The 26,396-nt window shown below is 44.5% G+C and overlaps 1 long non-coding RNA gene across 1 annotated transcript, besides 3 other annotated features; it reads right to left on the minus strand.

Moving 5' to 3' along the window:
• Window positions 1-1,080: 1,080 nt before the first annotated feature.
• On the minus strand, window positions 1,081-14,649 carry LOC124906127 (uncharacterized). The gene is made up of 2 exons (XR_007088143.1): window positions 10,993-14,649; window positions 1,081-10,744 (listed from the first exon to the last, which is right to left on the minus strand). It is a non-coding gene; the product is annotated as an uncharacterized LOC124906127 (long non-coding RNA).
• Window positions 4,889-5,392: an enhancer, noted in NCBI's record as "H3K4me1 hESC enhancer chr2:238046259-238046762 (GRCh37/hg19 assembly coordinates)". NCBI's record gives its function as "activates a minimal SCP1, AML or CMV promoter by ChIP-STARR-seq in primed H9 embryonic stem cells {active_cell/tissue: H9 hESC(primed)}" and the evidence as "EXISTENCE:reporter gene assay evidence [ECO:0000049][PMID:30033119]".
• Window positions 5,393-5,895: an enhancer, noted in NCBI's record as "H3K4me1 hESC enhancer chr2:238046763-238047265 (GRCh37/hg19 assembly coordinates)". NCBI's record gives its function as "activates a minimal SCP1, AML or CMV promoter by ChIP-STARR-seq in primed H9 embryonic stem cells {active_cell/tissue: H9 hESC(primed)}" and the evidence as "EXISTENCE:reporter gene assay evidence [ECO:0000049][PMID:30033119]".
• Window positions 23,312-23,846: an enhancer, noted in NCBI's record as "H3K4me1 hESC enhancer chr2:238064682-238065216 (GRCh37/hg19 assembly coordinates)". NCBI's record gives its function as "activates a minimal SCP1, AML or CMV promoter by ChIP-STARR-seq in naive H9 embryonic stem cells {active_cell/tissue: H9 hESC(naive)}" and the evidence as "EXISTENCE:reporter gene assay evidence [ECO:0000049][PMID:30033119]".

Consider the following 26,396-nt stretch of genomic DNA (forward strand, 5'->3'; position numbering starts at 1 on the left):
AAGCAATTTTGTCCTCCAAGGGACATTTAGCAATTTTTGGAGACATTTTAGGTTGTCCCAGTTGGAGGTGGAGGGTGCTACTGGTATCTAGAGGGTAGAGGCCAGGGATGCTGCTGAGTGTGCAGGACAGACCCTGCCACAAAGAATTATCTGGCTCAAAATATCACTAGGGCAGTTCCTTTCTTTGTCTGTTGGTTGGCTGGCATGAGGAACCCAAAATGACGGGAGTCTCAACTTGGGTGGAACTCTTACACTGCCCTCTAGTGGAAGCAGAACCTCCAGTCCAGTAGAGAGTGACGTTGCAACTCTACAGGAAACGCAAATTCCCTGAGTGGTGGCGAGAAGGACAAAGGCCAAGGACATGGAATGGGATTTCAGCTGTAGGCTTGGCCCATATGGGGCTGCCAGGGAGGCAGAGCCTGTGTGTGCCATCTTTTTCCTCCCAAGAACCCGACTGACACTAAGCCAAACTTCTCACAGAGCTGTTCCCAAGGCACAGAGCACCAGAATACATTTCTGTTAAACAGCAGGAAGAGGCCAGATCTGGGATTCCAAATCCTTGATCTAAGGGTTGCCATCCCACTATGGAAGTTTTCCAAAGTGGGTTTACCAATCTACATTCTCATGAGCAGTGGATGAAAGTTACACTTGGTCTACATCCTTGTCAACATTTAGTATTGTCTATTTTGTTTTTTAAATTTTATTCATTCTGAGGGATGTACAGTGTAACATCACAATGATTTTCATTCGCACCACTCTAACAGCTAATAAATTGGAGCATCTTTTCAAATGTTTATTGCCATTGGACACTCTCTTTTGTAAAATCTCTTGCCCATTTTACCTTTGGATTGGTTTCTAGCATTTTATTATTATTGATTCTTCAGAGCTCTACATAAGTTCTTGATCATTTTTTTTGTCAGATATATGGAATGCAAATATCCTTTCCCATCCTGTGGGTTGTTTTTTTACTCTTCATATGTCGTTCATCTTAATGCTTATATGCTGGAGTTTCTTTTCATTGCATTTTTGATTTATCTCCATTGATTCTTGAATTTGATATCTTCCTTTTCCCTAGCTTCCTCTTTTTTTTTTTTTTTTGCAGGAATTTTTGCTAATCACATTTTCCTCTCCTCATGATTTACATATAGAAGACAATATTCTGATTTTTTGACTGTTAACAGGTCTTTATTTTGCCTTCCTCCTTTATTGGTAGTTTAGTTGGGTATGTAATACTTTAAGAATTCTCTTTTTTTTTCAGATTGCATCAGTGCAACAGTCATGAAGAAAGAATATTATCTCCTCAAATCTCTTTTAGAATATACAGTTCAAATTTCTTAACCTTGATTTCTTTTCTGTAAGTTTTCTTTTGTTTCTTGAAAGAGCTCTGTTTCACACAGGTTCAAATTTCCCGAATGGGTTGTTTGCCATCGTTCCATTTGCCAAAACTGATGAGTTTTCAATGCTTCTTTTAGCCTTACAAAGGGAAATTCATCTCAGGTAAAAGAATAAGCAGCTTCAAAAATTCTTGACCTCTCTTTTTGGTATATTTAATGCAATTTGATGTGCAAGGTGGGAACTGCAATTAGTCAGCAGGAGCAAGGACTTGGAAGTCTTGTGCCAGAGCAGTTTCCTCTCTGGTTGCCATTGGCCCTGGACTTCTGTAGCCAGCTAGGGTGATGAGCCTTTATCTCCCATTGCCAGCTGACCTGGTTGGGGCCGACTTCAGCCGCAGCTGACACAACAGATTTGCTGTGCTCCACTTGAGGCACCCTCCCCACCTTTCTCTACAGGTGGTTATTGTAGCCTGAGGTTGCCTCAGGCCTGGGGCTGCAGTTGAACAGAAATTTGTCCCCATTAACTGAACCACAGTAATCTGCAGCACCCCTAGAGAGTGTAAATGAGCAAGAAAATTAAGTGGAAACTCAGTGATAGAAATCATCTGTAGTTTTAAGTATATGCCAAACAGTAAATTCAGAGATTAGGGACTAAATGCAATTAAAATCCAACTTGACATCTAGACTTTTGCTCATTGCTTCATCTTATGATAAAACCCATAGCCAGTTGGAGCTTCTCCCTTATTAGCTCATTCTCAAATTGTCTGTACTTCATATTTTACTCAAGTGATCCAACAGCCCTGGCTTAATTGTTCATGACACTGAAGCTGACCTTCAGCTGGGAGAACTAATTGACCAGCTCCTAATTCAGCTGTAGGAACTCACAGACAAATCTCTGAAAATGTCTTGATTGCACACTCTTGTGAGATTCTAGACTAACTTTCCTAAGTGTGCCTATAAATGCTAGCTTAAGTTCTTTTTTAATCAAGACAGCATGTCAAAGATTTATATAATTAGCTCAGTTTGACCTTTCTCTAGTTAATCCTGTTGACTTTAGATGACTTTTAGTTCTAAGGCTCACCACTAAAATGTAGTCCCTCCAAGCTAAGTTTACCCCGAGAAAAATGTAGTCCCTCCAAGCTAAGTTTACCCCGAGAAAAATGTAGTCTCTTCAAGCTAAGTTTACTCCCGAGATTTTAAAATAAACTCCATTTTGTTAGTTTTTAAGGAAGGGACCAACCCACATGACCTGAGGAAGGACAAAGTATTGTTAACATATCAATTTTCTCAAAGTGATTAACAAAAGCAGATTCCCAGTGAAAAAAAATTGAAACTACAAAATCATGTCAGTATTTATCTTTAGGAAAGAAAAGATAAAAATAGTCAAGAAAGTGATATTTTATCAAATTATAATGAGGGGATATTGGCATTGTCAAATACTGAACTAAATATATCAAAGGTATACTGATTAAAATATAGTGATACTGATGCAAAAAAAAACAAGAGAAAATGAAGAGAAAAATCTAAAATCAAGTACACATATGTATTTAGGACAAGACAGAAATAATAGTTTAAATTAGTGGAGAAAAGAAATACTATTCAATAAAGGGTGCTTGGTAAATTGTTAAATAACATAGCCATAGCAAATAAATTTGACAAGGATTTAAAATAGTAATTAATTTGGTGAAGGTACCAAGAATGAAGACTCAAAAAAGACCATCTTTCTGAAGGGTGTTGATATCCTAAACAAGTAAATATTTATTAATACTATAATTACAACTATAAGACTCCATCTAAATAGAGATGTGAAAATATCTACAAACCAGAAACAGTCATTTTAGAATGTTATCTGTAGTAGGAAAAGATTTCTAACAATTTAAATGTTCAGCAATAGAAGTTTGAGTAAGTCGTCAATCCGTAAAATGGAACAATATGCAGCCATTAAAGTCACGTTTTAGATTAATGACGTGGGAATACGTTTTCAATAAAGTATTGCTATGGATGTCTCCAGGGGAAACAGTACAGGGGATTTTAATTTTCTTCTTTGTGCTTTTCTGTGTTTTTGAACCATTATGCAGTCAATATTGTTTGTTCCAATGACATTTTTGAGGAAGAAAAAGAACCATGTGTATAGACAGATAGAACGTTAATTGATTGATGCAAAACAAAACAAGTGAAGAAAGTTCTGAAAAAAAAAGGAGATAGTTAATTCTTTTTACAGGTGGAGATAATTTGGAATTTGTGATTTTTATACAAAGTTAAAAACGAAGGAACAAATAAGCACATTATTCGTTAAGCAGGTAAAAGATCTTGGCAGTCAGAAAAACCGACTGACCACTATAGTGCTGCCCACCGGGGCCCTGGGAGGGCACAGGACTTCCTTAAATGCCCGTCCAAAATATGCCTTAAAAACCTGTCGCCTCTTCAAGATAGACATGGAGAGAAAGGAAAACAGCCAATTACTGTAGACCATAGCCTTGTGAGGAGTGATGTCTTTGATGGTTTTCGATGTTAAAATGTCTTTAATACATAATTTATTGAAAAAAATAGTATCTTGTAAAAGGGAGGGGAAGAAGTAAAGCTAAACACAGTATTTGGTTGTGGCAGCAATTAATTGCTTCTATCACTTTTTGTTTTCTTTTTTGGCTTTTTATTTTGAAATAATTTTAGACTTACAATTACAAAAATAGTTCAAAAATTGTATTATACTCTTCTGCCAGCTTCCCCAAATGTTAATACCAAGATAACCAATAGTTCAATTATTAACATGAGATTAACGCTGATAAAACACTGTTAACTAATCTGTAGGCCTCATTCCGATTTCATCAGTGTCCTTCCTGTGGCCTTTTGCTGGTCCCAGATCCAATCCAGAAGCCCACGTTTAGTTGTCAGATCTCCCTGGTCCTCTAATCTGGGACAGTTCTCAGTCTTTGCCTTTTATAATCTTCACACCAATGATGAAAGCCCATCTGTTATTTTGCGGATATTTTCTTTGTGACGCTGAAATTATGCATTTTTGCCAAGGGTACCCCAGGAGCAACGCTGTGCCCTTCTCAGTGCATTGTGCTTGGTGGGTACGTGAGGTCAATATGTCTTATTACCAGTAATGGTAACTCGATTTGGTTCAAGTGGTGTCCGCTAGGTTTCTCCACTGTAAAGTTTCTGTTCTTCCCTTTGTAATCAGTAAGTATCTGGTTGGGGGATACTTAGAGGCTGTATAAATACTCTGTTCTTCATCAATCTTTCACTCACTAATTTTAGCATCCATCAAACGACCTTTGCCTGCAATAATGAGTACTACGGTGTTTGCCGAGTAATGATTTTTCTATTTCCATCATTCTTTCTACTGGAATTCTACTGGAAGTTAGAGCTGAACTTCCCCTCCTGTTTATTTATTCAGTTATTCTTCGTATCCATGTGGACTCAGGGGTGTTTTCTAGATTCTAGGAACTGTCATGTGTTGCCATCATTATACATTTTGTTGCTCTGCGTATCCCAGGCTCAGTCACTGGGGGAGCCTTCCGGTTGGCCCCTGTTCTGGCATGGCCCTGTCATTTTTGGATCCCTTTCTTACTCTCTAGCACCACAAAATATTCCTGGCTAATCTTGCTCATTCCCAGTGTCAGCCCTGGTGTCAGCCATTTCTCCCAGGAGCCCTGGTTCCTTTAACTGGAGATCGTTATTTAGAGTCCAAGGCCTGGGCACTAGGTGCATTCACTGCTGCCAGGGCGTCACTGCTACTCGGCCCTCCCCTTTGTCCCTGAGGTCCATTTGTCACTGTGTGTTCTGCCTTGGACCCCTCAACATTCTGCCTGTGTGGGAAAGGCGAGACACTCTCCAGTCCCTTTACCGAAGCTGCATTTTACCTCTGTCCACTGTAGTCAGAGTCCAGTAGTGCCACCCCTCCTGCCCCTCTTCCCCACTTTCTTGCGTTCCTGCCACTCTAGGTCCAGAGTACAAAGTACACTTGACAAATCTCATGCAGCTCATGGGAGCTGAGTGGGGCCTGGTCCCAGTGACAGGCTGCCCCCAGGCTGGGGTTGCCCGTCGACCGCAGGCCGTGGCCTGAGAGCCCAGCAGACGGCCACCTGCCCCTGTGCCTGCGGCTCAGTGCCAGCCTCAGACACAGCTCTAAGGAAGGGAAAGGATTCGTCATGCTGAGGGAAAGCTGTCCTAATCCATAGGATTTAGGATGGCTCAACTATCAGTGGACCTTAGGTTTTTTGTTTCTTTGATTTGCTTCAGTTCACCTGATTAAACAACTATAAACCTTGGGCTTGGGAAGGAGATTTCCTGTTGAAATATGTGGATGGATAGTACCATCACACCGTACATCTTGTTGTGTGGAATTGTTTTAAAATAGCAGCTTGTTTTTTCTTTTCTCCCCGCTGTGCTTAGGTGAGATTGCCCAAAGCTAGTGAGGGTATATACAATAGGCACCTTCATACATTGTTGGAGGGAAAAGAAATCTCTTCAACTTTTTTGGAAATACATTTTGCAGCACGTTTTATGAGATTAAAAATGTTCATATGCTTTCACTCATTAATTTCTTCTCTTGGAATCTATTCTGAAAACTAAACAAAAAATATGAAAAAATAGGCAAAGATTTATTTTGCCATTTTTATAATAATCAACTTGAGTAGAAAAACCCTGAAATAGTCAATCATAGGAAAGGTGAAAAATTATTACAAATGCACTTGATAGAATATTATAGAGTCATTAAACAATTTTCCCAATAAATAATATTAGCAACATGGAAAAGCACTTATGATATATTAAATTTAAAAAGGAAGATACTAGGTTAGTTGTACATTTGGACAACACACACACACACACACACACACACACACACACAGTTATTTATGAATACATAAAAGACCAAGGGGGAAAGAACTAAAGTATAAATAGTAGTTATGTTATGGTGTTTTGTGTATTTTTCTTTTCCTTCTACATTTTGTATCTTGTAAATCTTCTTGAAGGAGCCCAAACTACTTTGATAACAGAGTGAATAAAATAAGGTTTTTCATTTCTTGTAAGAATAGATGTCTTAGGGGTATTAAAGATTAGATTTAATATTTACTTTTAAAATAATTGTTCTCAGCCAAAATGCCATCTGGCTAGCAGAATTATCTGGAACACCTTTCCAAAATACACATCTGCATATCCAGCCCCCATGCACACCCAATACACATGCACGTGCACATGCACATACACACACATGCACGTGCACATGCACACACACACACATGCACGTGCACATGCACACATGCACACACACGTACACCTATGCACACATGCAACCCATATGCACACATGCACACATGCACATATATGAACACATGCACACGTGCAAACATGCACACACACACGTATGCACACACAAACATGCACCGACGCACACATGATCCCACACACATGCACACATACGCACACACATGCACATATGCATGCACATGCACACGCACACACATGCACGCATATGCACACACATGCTCACATATGCACACACACGCACATGCACACACACACACAAAGGCACATGCACGTGCACACACTCAGTCACTGGGACTAAGACCCACAGTGCTTGTTCCTCGCTGCAAGGTTGTATCACCAAGGAGTTGGGGAACTCAGCTGAGAGGGTGACCTTCCTCCCAGGGTGGGGGGACACAGAGACAGACCAGGGCTTATGCAGGCCTTTACTAATAATCCTACCACATTTGTTTAAAAAATATAAAGGAATATTTGGAAACAAAAGAAAAGAAAGAAGTTACTTAGAGTCCTACCTGTCTAGAGGGACCAGTTTGCATTTTTGTGTATTTTATAGGAGTGTTTTTGAAAAAAATATATCCTAGCCCTTAAAACAAACCCCCTCCCCATTCCTTCCTGTGCTTGTGAGGAATGAGGCATGGTGCTTTGGTCATGGCCCCATGCGCTGCTGGGGCTGGGTCCAGTCCTGACATTTTTTAGGTGTCTGAATTTGGACACATTCCTTAGCCTTTTTCAGGTTACTTGTCACTATTTTTTTGGAACAAAATATGATGATAATAGTTTCTATAGACCTCATAATATTGTAGTGAGGTTGAAAACAGATACCCATATAAGACACTTAGAATAATGTCTGGCCCATGGTGAACACTCAATACCTTTTATTATTAACATCATCCCTTTCATTATTATTACTAAACAAATGGCTGTACTCCTAGTAGAGGTCACAAATGGTGGTCCTGGGTTAGGTTCGCAGATATGTTTTGGTTGGCTCTCACCGTGTTTTGTTTTGTTTTGTTTTTTGAGTCTCGCTCTGTCGCCCAGGCTGCAGTGCAATGGTGCGATCTCGGCGCACTGCAACCTCGGCCTCCTGGATTCAAGTGATTCTCCTGCCTCAGCCTCCTGAGTAGCTAGGATTACAGGTGTGCACCACCATGCTCAGCTAATTTTTTTGTATTTTTACTAGAGACAGGGTTCCATCATGTTGGTCAGGCTGGTCTTGAACTCCTGGCCTCAGGTAATCCACTGGCCTCGGCCTCCCAAAGTGTTGGGATTACAGGTGTGAGCCACCACGCCTGGGCCTCTCACCATGTTTTAAAATATTAATGAATTAACAACTAAAAAGCAGGAGACTTCACAGAAAATTCCAGATTTCTCATGGCTCTTGAAATACTGTGAGCATCTGACAATCCTGAGCCTGTTTTCCTGTTTGGTGGAAACCCGCAGGAGCTGGGCTGCCCTCCCACTGCCGTCATTGCTATTGATGGCCTGTGTCTGTGGGACATTTATAAATGTTCACCATCATCCCTTTACCGAAAGATGCTCTTTGATTTATAAAAACCAGGGAAGGTCTAGTCCAGAAGGTCAGGCAGCTGCACAATGTCAAGTTAGTGCTGAGTGTGGACAGCCAAGGATGCTATTAGCTGAGGGAGCAACAGTGGAGATACTGGTTGAGAAGTTCATCTCAGATTGGGAGCTGAGTGTAAGAGGACAGGGCTGGGTTGGGGCCACAGGCAAGGCCAGAGCAGGTCCCAGGTGCAGCCCACCAATCCAAGTGGACCTGGGAGAAGCCTGACTTGTAGGGGATGGTCCCCAGTAGAGGCCTCTAGGACTCCTTGGACAGGCTCTGGAATTCCTAGTTCTGAGAGAAGGGCCAGAGTATGGGCTCAGCTTCAAGGCCTACAAACAAGTCATTTGTCCAAAATGGTCATTAGCAAGACCTCCGGTGATCCTACTCCTCTTTAAGCCAGAGGGCTATGGAGGCCAGACCTACTCTGCCTCTTTGAGCTGGCCCCAGTGGTGATGGGGTCTCCTTGCATGGTTGAGAAGACCATGGGCTGGGGGAGGCAACAGATGATTAGGCCAGTAGCACATGGCCGTTGGGGTGGGGATACAGTACAGCCTTCGGTCACAGATCAGGGAAGAGTGAACTGGCTGGTGTAGGGATTGAGCCTGAGACTGGTCTCATTCACATTGAAACTTCCCAGAGCAGACCATGACTCCCAGAATGTCGCTGTAGTTCCTTAGAGACCTATGTGCTCTTCCATAAATACTGTATCATCGTGGGTTTCCTGACACGCAGGTTCCAGTAGATTGAGGTGGGAGGAAGAACAGGCTGAGTGATCCTAACTGGAGCCCTCCCCAAGGCCAAGGCCACTGACTCATGTTCCCACAGGCCATCTTTTCCTTGGTTTCAGGGAACTGCTGTTGGCTAGTAGCCCTTAGCTGTGGGCGGGAAAATTGCATCTTCAAGACATAGAATACTTAGTACTCTTTATTTATGTATCCTTTCTAACCACAGTGAAAGGCAAAACCATCTAGAGAGCTAGAGTTTCCAACCATGGCCACACCCCAAGTCTTTGCCCCCAGGTCCTCATGTTCTCTTGGGAGAGCTGCTACTTTGCAGCCAAGTGGAAAATTGGTGTGAGGTCAGAAAGGCCCTGGGCAGGGCCGCTCCCAGCTTCTCTTCTCTGTGCCAGGCTGCCCAAAACCCTGGTCTCCATCCCAAATTAACTTACTCATCAGAGGAGATACTTTTACCATTAAAAATCTACAATTCATGGTTCAAGATGGCAAGCCCATAAGTCAAACTTTCTCTCTCCAAAATTCCCATGGAAAATGAACAAATGTAGGAAGAGTGCTGAAAAGTGAATTAGTGCTGGGAAACAGAGAAGGTTGATCTCCACAGGCTTCAGAAAGTGTCTTCAACATACTGCATAGATGGGTTGGATGGAAGGAAGGATGTACCAACTCGTGCATATTGGGCATGTATTGGAAAACCCCTCCTGGGAAGAAAGTGGAGGCCCCAAAGAGCCTCAAGCTTGGAATGCTAGGCTCCTAAGGGCATGGGGCTGTGGAACAATTTTGGAAAGGGTGGTGGGGTTTAGCACATGGGTGGGTGGAAGCCGTGGGTGCTCTGAGTGGCTCAGCTTACATCAGCTAAAGCACAAATCACCAATGGGGGACCCTGAGAGCTGTGTTCTGTTTCCTAATGCATGATGCTCCCTATAGGATCTGTCTTCTTCTTCCCACAGTCTACCTTCTTAATTCAGACACAGACAACACCCTCAAAGGCACAGCAACATTGAGGTGGACTGGCAGTGGGGCAGTTAGTTGACAGGGCAAGGGCAAAGGTGGCAAGTTATCCAGAAGCTCATAGGATAATCCCCCTTAGTTGGTGACATGCCATCCTTCACCTGTATGTATCCTGAGCTGGGACAGATTGTGGTAAGAAGTCTGAGGAATGGGAAAGGATATCTTTAGATCCTGAAGATCATCTTAGATATGACTCAGAGATAGCAATGCATCCGTTCTTGTGCCAGGCCAGCCACTTACCAGCTGTGTGACTTCTGGACCTCAGTTTCCTCATCTGTTAAAATAGGTCTAATCTCAGCACCTACTGCATAAGATTTTTGTGAGGATTACATGTGATGTGTGTAAGGCACCGTAGCTTAGTGATTTCAGGATTACTACTTCAAACTAGTTCCCCTAGATTCAGTGCTAGGCACTGAGAACCCAGGCAGAGGTAGATGTTTAAATAGTATTTGTTAAATTTGTTATTATCATTCATTTCAGTTATCTGATGCTACAAAACAAATCCTAGTGACTTACCCCAAAACATAGGGGCTTAGAACAACAAAATATAACTATTACCACAAATGGTTTCTTGTGGATCAGGAATCCCAGGCACCTTGGCTGGGTGGCTCTGGCCTGAGCTTTCTGAGGAAGGTTCAGTGAAATGTCAGCCAGGATTGCAGTCATCGAAGGCTAGAGTGGGGCTGGAGGAGTCACCTTCAAGGTGGCTCATTTGTGTAGTTAGCTAATTGGTGCTGCCTGTTGGCAAAGGCCTTGTTCCTCCGTGTGGGTCTCTCCATGTGGCTTGGGCTTCCTCACATAATAGTGTCTTGGTTCCAAAGGTGAGCATCCTGACACCCAGAGAGAGAAAGAGAGAGAGAGAACCAGCAGGAACATCAAGCTTCTGCCATACTCCATTGGTCAGGCAATCACAGTCCCTGCCCAGATTTGAGTGGGGGAAACTAGACCCCACATCCCATTGGGAGGGATGAAATGGGATAAATACATGTGAGTACAAATATGTGTCCTTGGAACATAAAATCTGACACATTATTGTTCTTCTTATTATTAGAATTTGAGAGAGAAGCTTCATACCCACCTTTTGTAAAAGTTACTGGCAGTCAGAAACTGGTCTTGTCTGTCCCATGTGTGAACAGAGGTGGACCTTTCTTGCCAAGCTCCTGGATTGATAAACAACGTCTGGAAATTTTTTTTTAATGAAAATCTTGGCTGGGTTAGTGATGGAGCATGAGAAACAGAACACAAAGAACTATTCAATGATTCATCAAATTTATATCATATTGCAAAATTCTTGCACTTAAAAAAACTGGCTGTGAAAATCAGTGTCATAGGTACCCATGATATGTGGTTTTAAAGAAGAACAGAGGTGGAAGCACAGACTTTAGAGTGTCTGGAGGGAATCTCCCTCACTTGGCTTTATGGTCTCCAGTCTACTCCATCCTCTGACCCTGTTCAACCCCTTACTCTCAATGTATGACCTTGCATCCTTCTCAGAGAAAATAGGAACCGTCACATGGAGCACTCTCACCTTTGCACCACCAAATCGGCACTCCCCCTTGTGTCTTTTTTAAAATCTCCTCTTCCTTTTCCCCATTACAATGAAAGAGTGGTCCCTCTTCTGACTGCAGCTAGCTCCTCTTTGCCTGCTCTGGATCCCATCCCACTTCTTCATTCCAAGGACCACTAACATGTCGACCCCCACCGCTGTCTGTCTTTGACATTTTGCTTGTATTTTCCCCTTTTCAACAGTTCATGCCATTCCCATATTTAAAAGCACCTAAGAAATCCCCATCAACAACACCAATCAAAACTACCACCAACACCAGTACAAATAATCCTCTACACAGGCTGTACCCCCCACCACTCCCATCTGATTCCCTGCAGGTACTGTCCTGTCTTCCTGCTCCCTTCACAGATAAACTTGCCCTAAACAATTGTCTTCACTTACAGTCCCCACGTTCTCATATCTCACTCCTTCCTCAGTTCACTTCAATCTAGTATTTGCCTACATAACTTCACTGGAATTGCTCCCACTGTTGTCCTCAGTCAATCCAGTGGACACCTGTGGTCCTTCCCATCATGCTGGGTCTCTCTGTGGCAGTCTCCACTACTGACTACACTCTTGTGTGTAGAAACCATCTCTTATCTAGGCTTCTGGAACTAAACACTCTTGGTTTGCCTTTTAGACAGACTCCTCCCTCCTCTGCTTAACCGTTAAGCTTTGCAGTTTCTCAGGCACCCTCTTAACGGAATCTTCTCCTCTCACTTCCAATAGTCTGAGGAGAGATGGATTGAAAAAAAAAATGCATCCAAGCAGTTCAGACCCCAACAGTATTCCTCTCTTTGGGGCATCTCCTCCTATGGACATTCTCCTCCTCTACTCACCCTTCACCAGCTCTTCCTGAGTTGGCTGAATGGGAGCACTTGAGGGGGATAGTAGGAGTACATATTAGGGATCCCTATTGTGGGCACAGATTGAGTCAGCCTTTCCAGTTTTATCAATAATAAAACATATTTTTTTATTTCCATCTGACACCTGTGCCTTATCTCTTAAATTTTAAAGGAGAAGAACGAGTTATTGTTTATGGTTGTATTCAAATTCCAACATACATAATTACTGTCCGGTTGCCCTACCAGGCAGTCAACTCCATGAGGTCAGAGACTACCTCCGTATTGTCCACTCTGATTCCTCAGCACCCAGCATAGCCCCCAACACATTTAAGACAGTAACACTTGTATAGAATATTTCAATTTTCAAAACACATTTGCATAAATATTGCATGTAATTTTTACCATAATAGTATTCTGCACTCCCATCTTCCCCAGACCCACTTTTAAAGTTAGGGATTAAAGTCTGAGAGAGATTAAACAATGGAGATTGAGAGCCATTGAACTAATAAATTTTCCAGGATGTAAAGAGAAGTTTTTCTAATATTAATAACAATTTTTCTAAGTCCTGGTGTTTCAATAATTGTTATACAACTTGGGTATGCAACTGAATCTATATGAAATGTTTTAAAATAAATCTACAATTAAGAGATTTGCCAGTGTGCTCAGTAATTTTCAGATTTGTCAGCTTCTTCATTTCCAGAATGGCAGAATGAGGAGATTGTCAAATCCTCTCCCCAAAAAGTAATAATAAAACTGGACAAAATTATCAAAAACAACCATCTCAGGACTGAAAATTGACCAAAGCCATACAACAAATTGAGAAGCATTTACTCAAGATAAACTACTGAACCTCAGGTAAGAAAAATAGTGTGTGGTATTTTTAAGCCTGGGGCTACTTCATTTTCCCATCCCCCAGCTTAGTCAATGCAGTAATTCTACCAGGGAAAGCATACCTTAAAAACCAGCACCTCACCTGCTAGAGGTGGCTTATTTGGTTAAAAGCTGTGCACAGAAAGACCCCATGCTCAGATGTGTTGCTGAAAATAAGTAGAAATCTCAGTGGCAAATGAACAAGAAAGGAAATGTCATGGCTAGCTCAAAGTTTAGATACTGCTTGGAGCAACCAAGACTGGCAGACTAGCCAGAAATTTAACAAGGAGGTCCAAGTCATGAGATATTCATAGTGGACTTTGATAAGCTTTTCCGTATACCTGAAAGTATAGAAGAGTGTGCACATGTGCAAAGGTATGAGCATGTTCAGGAAAGAACAGAGAGGGCCCTAGCTATCTACACATCCTTGGTTGAACAAGAAGCTGGAACACATACAGACAGAACATGAGATGGTCCTGAGGAAAGTAACAACCAAGAAAACATGTAAACTGCCTGAACTTTGAGTGCATCTCAAACCCATAAACAGATCTGTCAGCAAAGGTTGGAAAGCTTACTGGATCAAGACGTTTGAGCGCAAACTCTGACCAATAATTACATGATCACTGTGCTCTGCTGAACAAGGGATGACTCTGAGGAAGTCAGGCTTCAAAATAAAAACAACAACAATAATTTTTAAAAAATTGAGCAGAGACATTAGCAGCCACATTCATGGGGAGACAAACTAAAGGATTAGTCCAGGAAAACCACTAAACAAAAAAACAAAGACAGTACCAAGAACAATACCCAAGATTGTGGGAAAACCAGAATCCAAAATTGCTACAATATATTATTTAAAATACCCAGTTTTCCACAAAAATATGCGAGTTGCAAAGAAACAGAAAAATGTGTTGCACATATAAGATAAAAAGCAGTCAGTAGAAACTATCTCTTGAGGTGCCCAGGTGTTGGAGTTAGCAGACAATGACCTCAAAACAGCTATTATACATATGTTCAAGTAATTTAAAGTAAACCATATTTAAAGAATTAAAGGAAAGTATGATGACAATGACTCATCAAATACAGATTATCAATAAAGAGACAGAAATTTTTAAAAAGAGGTACATAGAAATTATAGAGTTGGAAATGTCAGTATCTAATATTAAAAATGTACTAGGGGAGCTCAACAGCAGAGATGAGATAATATAAGAAGAAAGAATCACCAAACTTGAAGATGGATCAATAGAAATTATCCAATAAAAAGTAATAAAGAAAAATGAACAGAGTCTCAGTGACCTGTGGGACACCATCAAGTGTACTAACATACACACAATGGGAATTCTACAAGAAAAGCAGAGAGAGAAAGGTACAGAAAAATATTTGAAGAAATAATGGTCTAAAGCTTTCTAATTTGATGAAAAACCTTAATCTACCTAGAGAGGCTCAATGAACTTCAAGTAAGATAAGCACAAAGTTCCCCAACTAGACATATAGTCAAACTTTTGAATGCCAGTGTCAAAGAGAAAATCTTGAAAACAGAAAGAGAAAACTGACTCATCATGTGTAGAAAAATTATAAGATTATCAGCAGATTTCTCATTTGAAACAATGGAGACCACAGGATAATGGGATGACAGGTCCAAAAGATTGACACACAAATAAAGCCTGTCAACTAAGAATTCTGTATCCAGCAAAACTATCCTTTTCACTCTGTTGCAATTGTCCTTTGTTACACTAAAGATTTTAATTTTGATAAAATCCAAATTATTTTTATTTTTATTTTTTGGTCTGTGCTTTTGATGTCATATTCAAGTAATCATTGCCAAATCCTATGTCATGAAGATTTTCCCCTATGTTTTTCTCTAAGAGTTCAAGAGGTCCTTGGTTAAGGACCTATGGGGTCCTAAGGAACTATGGGGAATACTGGGTTAAATATAACTTAAAAGACTCTTTACTGTCCTTCTTCTCAGCCTTATTAATGTACATGTTAGAGCATTGGAAATATTAGAGAGGGGTCTATATTACCAACTGATTACAGGGCCACAGAGGAGAGGGATGATAAATCAGTGCTCCATGAAATTTCAGCCCAAGAAGCACTGCACCATGTTGCCCTCTGGATCATTCTTACATTAAAACTGTACAACCTTAAGAGGAAGCTGCTATTGTTATCTCTCATTGATGAAGAGGGAGCTGAGTCTTCTAGATATTAGTGATTTGCTCACTCTCACCACTAAGTACAGTAGCCTGGCTCCAAAGTCCAAGGCCCTAAACTCTATTCCTGCAGATTCTCCTCTCTCACCTCAGTGTAGGGCTTCTGGCTATTCTTCTCCCAAGACCACTAATCAGGACCCGCTGGTGGTCCCAAGGAGCAGGCTGAGCCTCCTATCTCCTTACAGATCTTGTCTCCTTTATAGTCCATCTCTGGATACCACTTTGCTCCACCAAACTGACTGCAGAAAGGAAAGCAGACTCCCTATCCACTAAAGAGAAATGAACAAAAGTCTACTTTGTACTAAGGCTTTATTGTCGTCAACAGCTGATGTCAGTGAAACATTTACTATGAACCTGGCACAGTGCTAAGCCCCATGGGTTATGACATCTGCAGTTCTGCTGTGAGGTACGTGAGGGGCAGGGAAGTGTCTCAGCTCATGAGGCAGCCCAGCTCTACCAGCCATTACCTTAACCCCATGTGCAGTGAAGCAAGGTCTCAATCTTCCTGATCAGATGTTCCTTTGTGCAGATGGGTGGGTTCAGCCAGGCCAGCCAGCATGTACTCCTCCCACACACACAGGAAGGCCTTCCTGGGAGCACACTTGCGCTTCCTGCAACCCATACCCTTTCTTTTGTTACCAGCTCCCTACTTTTCCTTTGGGAAGCTCTCCTATGCCATGTGCTCCTGGAGAGACTGTCCCTGTGTGCCATCTGCACTTCCTGCCACACCCGGGGTCCAATCACGTTATCCTTTCTGAGGGTTTGACATTGAGCAGAGGCACAGGGTCAGGGTGGGGAGCTCACTTCTCTGACAGCAGCACCTGTAAGTCTGTGCCCTGGCTCCTGTTGAGGCCACTTTTCACATTTCTATTAATATTATTATTATTTGTTAATCGGCTAAGCTGAATGGCTATTTAATAGTAGTTGGCATTGTAGGAAAGTTCCAGAATAAATATAAGTGGAATAAATCATTGAGTTCACTGACTTGTGGAGGAAGGGACTGTGCAGATTTCATCTTTCTTGAGCTGCTTCCATGTGTTCCCCATCCTCCACACCAACTTCCATGGGCTGGTCACCAGCCCACCATGACTCTATGGGAACAGAAGAGCCTTCTCAGACTGCATGGGGAGACTCAGGTAGAAGCATTTGAGCTTATTACTAGGCCTCCAGTGTCTGACAGGGTAAGAGAAATGGAAAAGAGTGTTCCTTAGTAGCTGACACTGACTTCTGGGCAAGTCTGACTTAAACAAACAAACAGAGTTGAGGAGCAAGAAGGTAGCAAGTGTCACTCCTCTTCTCTCAACATAAATACATGCATTTAGCTCCTCTTCTTGTCCTCACCGTTTTGAAAGAACAAGTTGATTTATGAGAGCACTGGAAAGTAGGCAGATTTGCTCTGAGTGTTTGCTGAGGTGGGTGTGGAAATTCTTGAGAAGAGAGAGAGCGTGTGGGCTGGTGTGGGTAAGACTTTGAGGTGTCTGGGGACAGTGGGTTAGAATGTCTGAATCAGACTGAGCCACAGCATGGCTTCTGCAGTGAGCAGTAGGGCTGGGTGCTGGGCCCCACCCTTTGCTGGCATCCCTAAGAGGGCCATGTTTGTGTGTGTGTGTATGTGTGTGCGCTTGTGTGTGTGTGCACACACATGCATGCCCATGCCTTACCCGGCTGCTCCTCACTGTGGGAGTGGGAGGGAGCAAGAAAAATACCCCCCACCCCAAGAATGACTCCTTCAAGGCAGCGCTCACCTTCTCCTGAGAGCCCATTCAGGCAGGCTGTCAATGCAGGTCTATGCAGGAAGATGTTTCTGTTTGGTTTTATTTGGTATTGTTTCCAGAGCACTTCCTAATTTCAGAGCAAATGTCTTCTCCACCACCATTGTGTGGCCTGTATTTCCTAGACTAGTTCTCTAAGAGGAACTTTAGAAAATGTATTTAGGCAGTGTGTGTTGGGGCAGGAAACTCAGGGGACAGACTGAAAACCTTCCCAGGAAAGCTGAGCCAATTGGAAAGGAAATCCTTCTCCCATCCCGGGAGTCCTGTGACTGGCTGGGAGGAAGAGGAGTAACACTTTCACATATCCATGTCTCAGGGCTGTGGTCACCATCCAACCTGCATGTGGCCCCTGCCAGGGATGCCTCACTTGTCCATAGCCTCTCCTCCCAGGGTTAGAGACCCCAATAGGGCTCTTGCAAATGACTGAACACAGGGTAGACACTGGGGCAAGGGCAGCCCATCCATGGATAGGCCAGTGACCTGACCCTGTCCTGGCTCCTAGGCCTGAGCTGGCCAACAAGTGCTTCCCTTTAAATGTGAATTAGAGAAACCTGGGGTATGAGACTGGATCATGGGCACCTCAGGAAAGGGCTGTGAGTCCAGGCCTGGAGGCCCAGGCCAGGTACTTATGATCCTGAGAAAACCAGGGATATGGGAGTATAAGGGTCGTCTGGGAAAAAGAGGAGAATGGAAGAGAGGCTGGAGAAAAGAGGCCATGACCATGTTGCGTGAGAACCAGATGGACAAATGGACAGGTAACTCCAGATCTGTGCGCCAGGACCCAGCAGTCTTGGGCTGTGTCCGTGCATGTGGGGGAGATTCCCCGGGTTCCTGAGTTAGCTTGCAACCTAAAGAGCCCTCGTCCAAAGCACAGTATTTTTCTTTTATTCTCACAACCGCCTGGTAGGCAGTGCTTATGACTCCCATTTTGTACATGAGTAGGCTGAGTCCAGGAGAGGGGAAGGTACTTGCGGGAGGCCACAGAGCCAGTGAGCGGCACCACCAGGAACTGACTCTGTGTCTGGACAACCTTGTAGCATAAGGCCCATTCTCATTTCTCCATTCCACCTTCCATAATCACCTCTCTTCCACTGAAACTCAACTGGTGGGGGTGGGGAGTGCAATTAGACACTCTTGGGTTCTACAGGGTTTGCCTTGCTCTTCTGTCCCCAGTTCCAGTTTGGACATGTAGCCCAGTGACTCCTGCATTACAACGACAGGCAGAAAGTTACCCAGAAAGCTTGTTGCTGTGAGCTTCAGAGCACACGCTTTTGTTACAGGTAATTAACCTGCTTTCAGGGCACAAAAGCCATGCAGCAGCAGCTGCCAGGGAGAGTGGCTGTCCCTGAGTGCTCCAGCCTGGTGCTAGGGGGAGTCTGAGCTTCAGAGCAGGGTGGACAGGGCAGGGCAGAGAGGCTGCAACTGCCACCCTCCACGGTGGGTGGGCGCCTTCTTTCAAGGGAGAGCTGGGAGACCTGGCTGGACTCCTAGGGATTCTCCAGAACTGAGAGGGCTCCCAGGCTGGAATCACTAGCTCTTCTCTTTTTTCTTTCCACCGCACCCTCACCCCCGGATGTGGCTCATTTCAGGACCCTACACAACTTATTTGGGAGCACTGAGATTGCTCATATTCTGTGCCAGCAACCTGTAGGCTCCCAGAGGATTCCACCCTCCTAAGAACCTTCTCCCCAGGCTCACAGATCCTTTGAATCTCCACAGTTCTCTGCTCACAGCCTGCCTGCCCCACCTTTCCATAGCTCACCCTCCTGAAAATACTCCCTTCGCTGGCTCCTCCTTTTTTGTCCTCCCTTAAATGTCTACCCAGTTTTTCTCTACCTTCTCCTGGTCTATCCCTTTTCTCAGTCAGATGCAACATGGCCTTGTGAATTAGTCCCCAGCCCCAGGGCCCGAGGCTCCCCACTGCCCACAGACTCTGAGACCTTGGGCCTGACCTTGGTGTTCCTCCATGCCCTCCTTTCTAACTACCCTGCAAAGACTTTCTAAAGTCCAAATCTTGCGACTGAATCCCATTGGGAAGATGAGAAAGGAAATGGAGTTGGGGTGGGGCTCAGAGAGCTAAACCCTTATCTTTCATTCTAGACACTCGGTGGAAAGATGATGTCCAGTGTTGTTACCCACGAGATACCAAAGTGAGCAAATTATATGGAAATTGAAGAATAGAAGTATTCAAAGGTTTGGGTGATTGGATACTTAGTTTTCATTCAAACCTTGTAGAACTGCCCGGTGTCTCTAAATTCTGTGCATGTGACATATTACCAGAATTCAAATTAATTCTTGAAGTGAATTGGAAGAGAAGAGGATTTAGAAGAAGGTTCTGACCGGTCAAAGCCAGACGCTGCCATGTGGAAACATGGGCCTTGGATAGACAAAGACAAGCCAAAAATTCTGATTTACACATGAAACATCATGATTTTTAAATGGTGGCCAATAATTCAACAGAGACTTTAAAAGAACGTGAAGGCCACAAACAAACATCCCAGGTCTGCGGGCCATATGCCCCTCAGGGTGCCAGGGTAACGCCTCTAATAGTCATGCTGAGACAACATCCACATTAGTTTCCTGGGGCTGCTGCAACAAATTACCACAAACTTGGTGGCCGAAAATAACACAGATCGAATCACTTGTTCTGCTGGCCCAAAGTCCAAAACTAGTTTTGTCAGAGGCATTGAACCAGAACGACTCCATCTTGAAGAGGGGCTGGGTGAAATGAGGCTGAGATCCGCTTGAGGCTGAGATCTGTTCTGCCGCACTCCCAGGAAGTTAGGGATTCTTAGCCACAGGATGTTTATGGTTAAGGGAACAAGTTAATAATGTTTACGCAGCCGACCCAGGACTTCACAGACCCAGGAACTGCCCCAATGGCCCGATATCTTAAGTACAAAAGCATTCTTAGTTTAAGAATAAGTTTACTTTAGGGGTTGGGGTGGGGGGGATAGCATTTGGAGATATACCTAATGTTAAATGATGAGTTACTGGGTGCAGCACACCAACATGGCACATGTATACATATGTAACTAACCTGCACGTTGTGCACATGTACCCTAAAACTTAAAGTATAATAAAAAAAAGAATAAGTTTACTTTAAAGATATTAATATAGATTCTTGCAGACGACAATAGTTACACAAAGACGAACAATCCTTTGTCACAAGCTCTCGTAGTAGAGCACATCGCCCCATAATTTCCTTGACTTTGTTGTCTTGTGTATAAATAAGCACTGTACCTAAGGTGGGTGCCTTCCTCCTGTTGCTTTCAGGAATGCCCTGCTCTGTCTAGGGAGTAGACATTCTTTTATTCCCTTACTTTCTTAATAAACTTGCTTTCATTTTACTTTGTGGACTCGCCCTGAATTCTTTCTTGAGTGAGATCCAAGAACCCTCTCTGGGGGTCTGGATCCGGACCCCTTTCCGATAACAGTTTGACTGGGCTGAAGTCCAGGTGTCGACAGGATTGATTTCTTCCAGGGGCTCTAGGGAGGATTCATTTCCTTGCCTTTTCCAGCTTCTGGGGGCCACCTGTGTTCCTTGGCTTATGGCCCCTTCTTCGTCTTCAAAGAGCATCACTCCAATGTCTGCTCCAGTGGTCCCATTTTCCCTCTGACTCTGACCCTCTGGCTTCCCCCTTTATAAGGACCCTGTGACGACATAGGGCCCATTTAGATATTCTAGGACAATCTCTTCATTTCAAGAGACTTAATCACATCTGCAAAGTCTTTCTTCCATGTAAGGTGACATTCAGATTCTGGGATTAGGATGTAGTCATCATTGGCTGGGGGGTCATCATTCAGCCTTTCAAACCATAGGTCTTGACTGCTAATGGGTCATGAGAGCAATTTAATGGATCATAAATAGCATTTTTATAAAAATGTGATAGAATAGAATAATAGAATAATCAGAGGCACCACATTTGATACAGGTAAGTGCTGCCTTGTGAAATTTATCTCAGGAATACTCATCTACAGGTCTACATACCCAAGCAAATGTGTCTACAGGGTTCCAGAGCTAAAGGTTGGGCAAATTTGGAAAAACATGGCTGTAGAATATCTGTTGAATGACATTGCCTAGAGTGACCCAGTGAAGATAGAAGAGAACTTGGAGTGAGGCAATTGACCATGCCTTCCCTCTGCTGTGTGACCTTCAGTAAGTCAATTAACCTCTCTGAGTTTGTTTACTGGACTGTAAAACAGGGTTATTGTAATGATCAAATGAAAAAAAAATTGTGAAAGTTCTCTGGAGACATACAAATGTCAGGCAAGGTGGTTAGTGTGGTTAGTCTTCGAGAAGTGAATTGCCTTGAATAAAAGGGGTCTTATATTTGCTGTTCCCTTCGCCTTCCACACGATGGCATCCTTGAAACACAGGGAGGTGGCTGCAGGTGGCCTGTTGTGGCAGCTAGAAAAAGGTGCTAAGGATGTGGGGACATGTATTTCAAACTTTAAAGGGCCAAGGTCTCCACATGAAGGGTCGTCTCGTGAAAAGACTATATTGATATGATTTCCTTTTCCCTTCCAGTGGCAAATCCCCTCCTGACAGGCAAGCTCTTTGCCAAACAGGCGTTTTCCAGTCCTCAGAGCAGCTGCACATCATTATAAACAGTCCCTAAGTAAAGGATTGGCCCTGGACCATGTTGGGTCAATTAGCCCCTTTCTCACCTGGTTCTTTCCACCAAATTTCCAAAACGTTCAGTCTCCCACCACCCAAAACAGAAAACCCTGGTCCCTGCACTCAGAGTTACTACCTTTTATTTATTTTTTTTAAGAGATGGGGTCTCACTATGTTGCCCAAGCTGGACTCGAACGCTTGGGCTCAAGCAGTCCTCCAGCCTCAGCCTCCCAAATAGTTTGGATTACAGGTACCCGCCAGTGCACCTGATTTTAAAATCGCTACCTCTCTTCCTTCCCTCTGCCACCAGATTTCTAGAAGGAGCAGGGCACTCTTGCCTCTGCTTCTGCTATTTATTGACTCTGACTTTCAACCCACAATTCCACACACGGAAGCTCCTTTTCTTCATGGCCTCCTAATTGCAAATTCACATTTTCATTCCAATTTCTTCCTGTGACTTCTCTGCTGTGCATGGTGTTGACCACTTTCTCAGAAACTTTGGGTCTTCCCAGCTTCATCTGGCCTCAGGTCCTGGCTCCTCCCTATATCCGCTCACATCTGGCCTCTCCCCATCAGTCCCTCAGCTCCATCCTCCCTCCACTAGCTGCCAATCATGTGTCCCTGGGTTTCTGTTCCCCACACAGGTGCCTCAGGCAATGGGACTTGCAGACCCACACTCTGCCCCAGCCTCTTGACATGCCCATCAGAGTCCTCATCTGCCATTTGAGAGACAGGAACCCTGGCTCAGATCACAGTATCTCCATGTACCCAGACAGCGGGATCCTAGCAAGAGGGGCTGTCTGCTCAAGGTCATGAGAAAGTGGCAAGCAAAAGAGAAGGGTCGCCTTCCTCGGGATGGGCCAGCCTGAAGGAGTCAGAAGAGCGGGGAGGTATGAGGAACTCTATCTTGGGGCTGAACAGAAGCCCACAGTGCAGCCAGGAAGTGTGACATGAACAGTTCAGGCTGTGCACAAAGACGGGGAGAATGCTGGAGGTTTCTTATGGCAATGAGAGTTTCACACACCTGCCTTATTGCTTAGCCTTTGTGTTTCCCCTCAGGGATTAGCAATGCAATTCGAAAATAAAACTCACTGTGTGGCTGTTGGAGGGGGTAGCACACAGGCTGCCTCACAGCCAGCACAGGCAAGAAAGTCCCCCCAGGACTCAACAGCAATGGATTTGCAGCGGTGGGTGGCGTTTCCTGTGCCTTTACCCTGGGCTGGCCCCTGTGAAGTGCTTTCTGAGGACTGTCTCAGTCAGTCTTTCCAGCAACCTCAGGAGGCATCATTACCCTCCCCATTTTACCATGAAGGAAACCGAGGCTCAGAGAAGCAAGGAAGTTCCCTAAGGTCACACAGCCGGCCCAGAGGATCAGAACACAAGCCCAGGGGACGCAGCCCCAGGAGCTAATGAGAAAAGTGCCTGTGATTCGGCTTCAGGTCATACTGAGCACTTCTGTAGGCCATGCAAACACATTCTTTTTTTCTTTTTTTCCTAATGCAGGTTAGGGCTTAACTGGAACTTAACTGGAAACTTCTGTGCACATCTGCAGACACAGAAAAATGAAAACTTTAGCAACCAGCTGCATGTCCCAGAGAACAATTTTCCAAGGATAAAAGACACTCAGTGACTTCACAAGCACGGCACTGTGATGTCCCCTCCCTCCCCCTTTCATGAAATTCAGATGTCATTAGAGTAGGCTCCTAACCGTCCTTACCACATCAGCCCTAGGATGCCTCACTGAGGGCATGCGCTCAGTCATCAAGAGCACGCGGTGGTTTGTGTGCAGAGGGAACTACCCAAGGGAACAAAAAATAAGAAAAGACCTCAAAGTGGCCCCTGCCCCTGCCCACAGACAGGGAACCGGGTCTTTGTTTTGCTTCCTACGGGGAAGCATGCCCTGGGCAGTGGGTCTGGGGTGTGAAGACAGCCACCTCCCCACTCCAGCGTCTGCGGCTGCAGGTAGGGGAGGAGGCTGGGAGGAGGCCCTTCCGCACTTCCAAGCTGATCAGCGCAGCGTGAGCGCCGGCGTGCGAGTGGGTGCCGCGTCCAGACGGTTTCCATTTCCCCGGATAACCACGGAAAACATGAATCAGGAGGGCCCCGCGCTGGCCCAGCTGCAGTGTGGGGGCACACGCCGGTGAGTCACAGGCTGTGCTGCCAGCGCTGTTTTTCACATTTCTGTCCAGGGAACAGTTTCTCACTGGACGTTCAGTTTTTTCAGTCCTCTCTTCCCCCAGGACGTTGCTCAGACTGTGTCCAAGGGCTCCCTGTGCCCGCAGTGAGATGACAGCTTTCCTGCTGCCGGTAACACTGAGGAAGGCTGATTGAGCACAGCTTAGGGGACAAGGTCCCTGCAAATCAGGGACACGGAGTAACTCCTGGTCCTCAGCACAGCCCCTAGAAGAGGGCGCCTCGCAGACCCATTTCACACATGAAGGAAGCAAGGTCAAAGCTCTGGCCCGGCCGCTCATCAGCTTCCAGGGCTCTGCCCTCGGAGTCCACGCTCTGAAGCGGGGTCGCGTCAGGCATCGCATCCCCAGCAGCTCACCGATCGCAGTTCCCAAACGGCCGTATGCCGCACACGTCCCAGCTTCTTCCGGTGGCGATGGCCACAGAGATGCGAGTGCTGTCACTGCTGAACGCAGCAGAAGGGCTAAGTGCCCACTCAGCCCAGGGCAGAGGAGCACAAGGTTCCTCCAACCTCGAACAGGCTTCCTAGCGTTCCCAGACCCCGTGCCCTCCTTAGAGAGGGAAGGATGCCACCTCCCTCAGGAGCCACTGCCAGGTCTGTGCCTGTACTTTGCACATATTGTCACCTCCGGTCCTACAACAACCCTCGGCGATGGGCAGGCTCGCTATCCCCACTTACAAGTGAGGAGACTGAAGATCAGAAAGGATAAGTGAGCGGGCCGTGATCACTCAGCTACTGAGTGGCGGGGCCAGGATCTGAACAGAGGGCTGGTGGCTCCAGGATCTGCAGTCCTGCTGAATTCTGGCGTTCCTCCCTCCTCTGACCCTCCAAGGCTGCCTGCACCTGTGGCAGAGAACACTGAGCTGCCTTTGCATAAATGTGCTCTCACACCATGCTCTGCTTTTCCACAGGGCTGTTCATTGCTTGACTTGGCACAATTCACAGTCACGTGCCACACAGTGACAGACCACATATAGGGAGGTGGTCCCATAGATTATAGTGGAACTAAAACATTTCTATTGCCAGGCCCCCCGGGGCTTTCTGAGTACAAGAAGGCTGCCTTTTTTTTTTTTTTTTTTTTAAATCAGAGCCATTGTAACATTCTAGCACAATGACTGTATTTTTTAAATTAATTTAACCTAAGTACACAGTGGTTGGGTTAAAATCTACAGTAGTGTACAGTCATCCCCAAGGCCCTCCCATTCACCAGCCCCTCACTCACTCACTCACCCAGGGCAATGTCCAGTCCTGCAAGCTCCACTCATGGTAAGTGTATACCATTTTTTATCTTCTATACCATATTTTTATAGTACTTTTTCCACATTTGGATATGTTTAGATAAACACACACAGGGCATGGAGCTACAGCTGCCTACAGTATTCAGTACAGTAACATGCTGTAGGACTTTGCAGTGTAGGAGCAATAGATAGCCTGGGTACGCTGTGGGCTACACCACTTTTTGGCACCAGGGACCGATTTTGTGAAAAACAATTTTTCCAAGGCCCAGGGCAGGTGTGGAGGAATGCTTTTGGGATGAAACTGTTTCACCTCAGATCATCAGGCATTCGATTCCCATAAGGAGTGCACGACCCAGATCCATTGTATGCGCAGTTCACAATAGGGTTCATGCCCCTATGAGAATCTAACGCTGCTGCTGATCTGACAGGTGGTAGAGCCCAAGAGGTAATGTCGCTCACCCCCTGCTCACCTCCTGCTGTGCGGCCCAGTTCCTAACAGGCCACAGACTGGTACCAACCCCAGGGTTGCAGACCCTGGGCTATTCCACCTAGGTTTGTGTAAGTACACTCTAGTGTTCACACCATGATGAAATTACCTAAAATGCATTTCTCAGGACACATCCCTGTCTATTATTTATGTATTAAATCTGAACGCTGAAATACTATATAATGGTGTGATATGGTGTGTCTCTTCCCAACTCTGTGTCAATGATACACATTGGTAGCTTAAAATCAGCCACGGTGGAAGTATTTACACCATGGAAATTGGCAAACACTACAGATCAGGTGGGTTTTTTTTCCATTTTTCCTGGAGAGCTGGTTATTAAACATTTATTAGCACCCCGATGGACATAACGTGCACGCAATGTCTTTTGTATTCAAAACAGCATTTACAATATCATCCACATAAGTAAACATGGATAGAAAGATGACTCTTAAATCTGGAAATCTAGACTTTTGGAAAGTCTAACTGAAGATTATAGAATTGTAATTGAAGATTGGGAAAATAAATAATCCTCACAGCATTCCTACAGTTAACCTTGGGAAGTGAATGAGAAAAGAAAAGAACTTTTATCTGAGGAGTGAGAGTCCTCTTAAATTATCAGACCCAGAGAGACATTAAGATGAGACAGCAATCAGGTCCTACTCCCCACTTGGAGCTATGTCTTCCCCTCTTGAAACTGCTTGG

The sequence above is a fragment of the Homo sapiens genome, chromosome 2, assembly GCF_000001405.40.
Source record: "Homo sapiens chromosome 2, GRCh38.p14 Primary Assembly".
Taxonomy (NCBI): domain Eukaryota; kingdom Metazoa; phylum Chordata; class Mammalia; order Primates; family Hominidae; genus Homo; species Homo sapiens.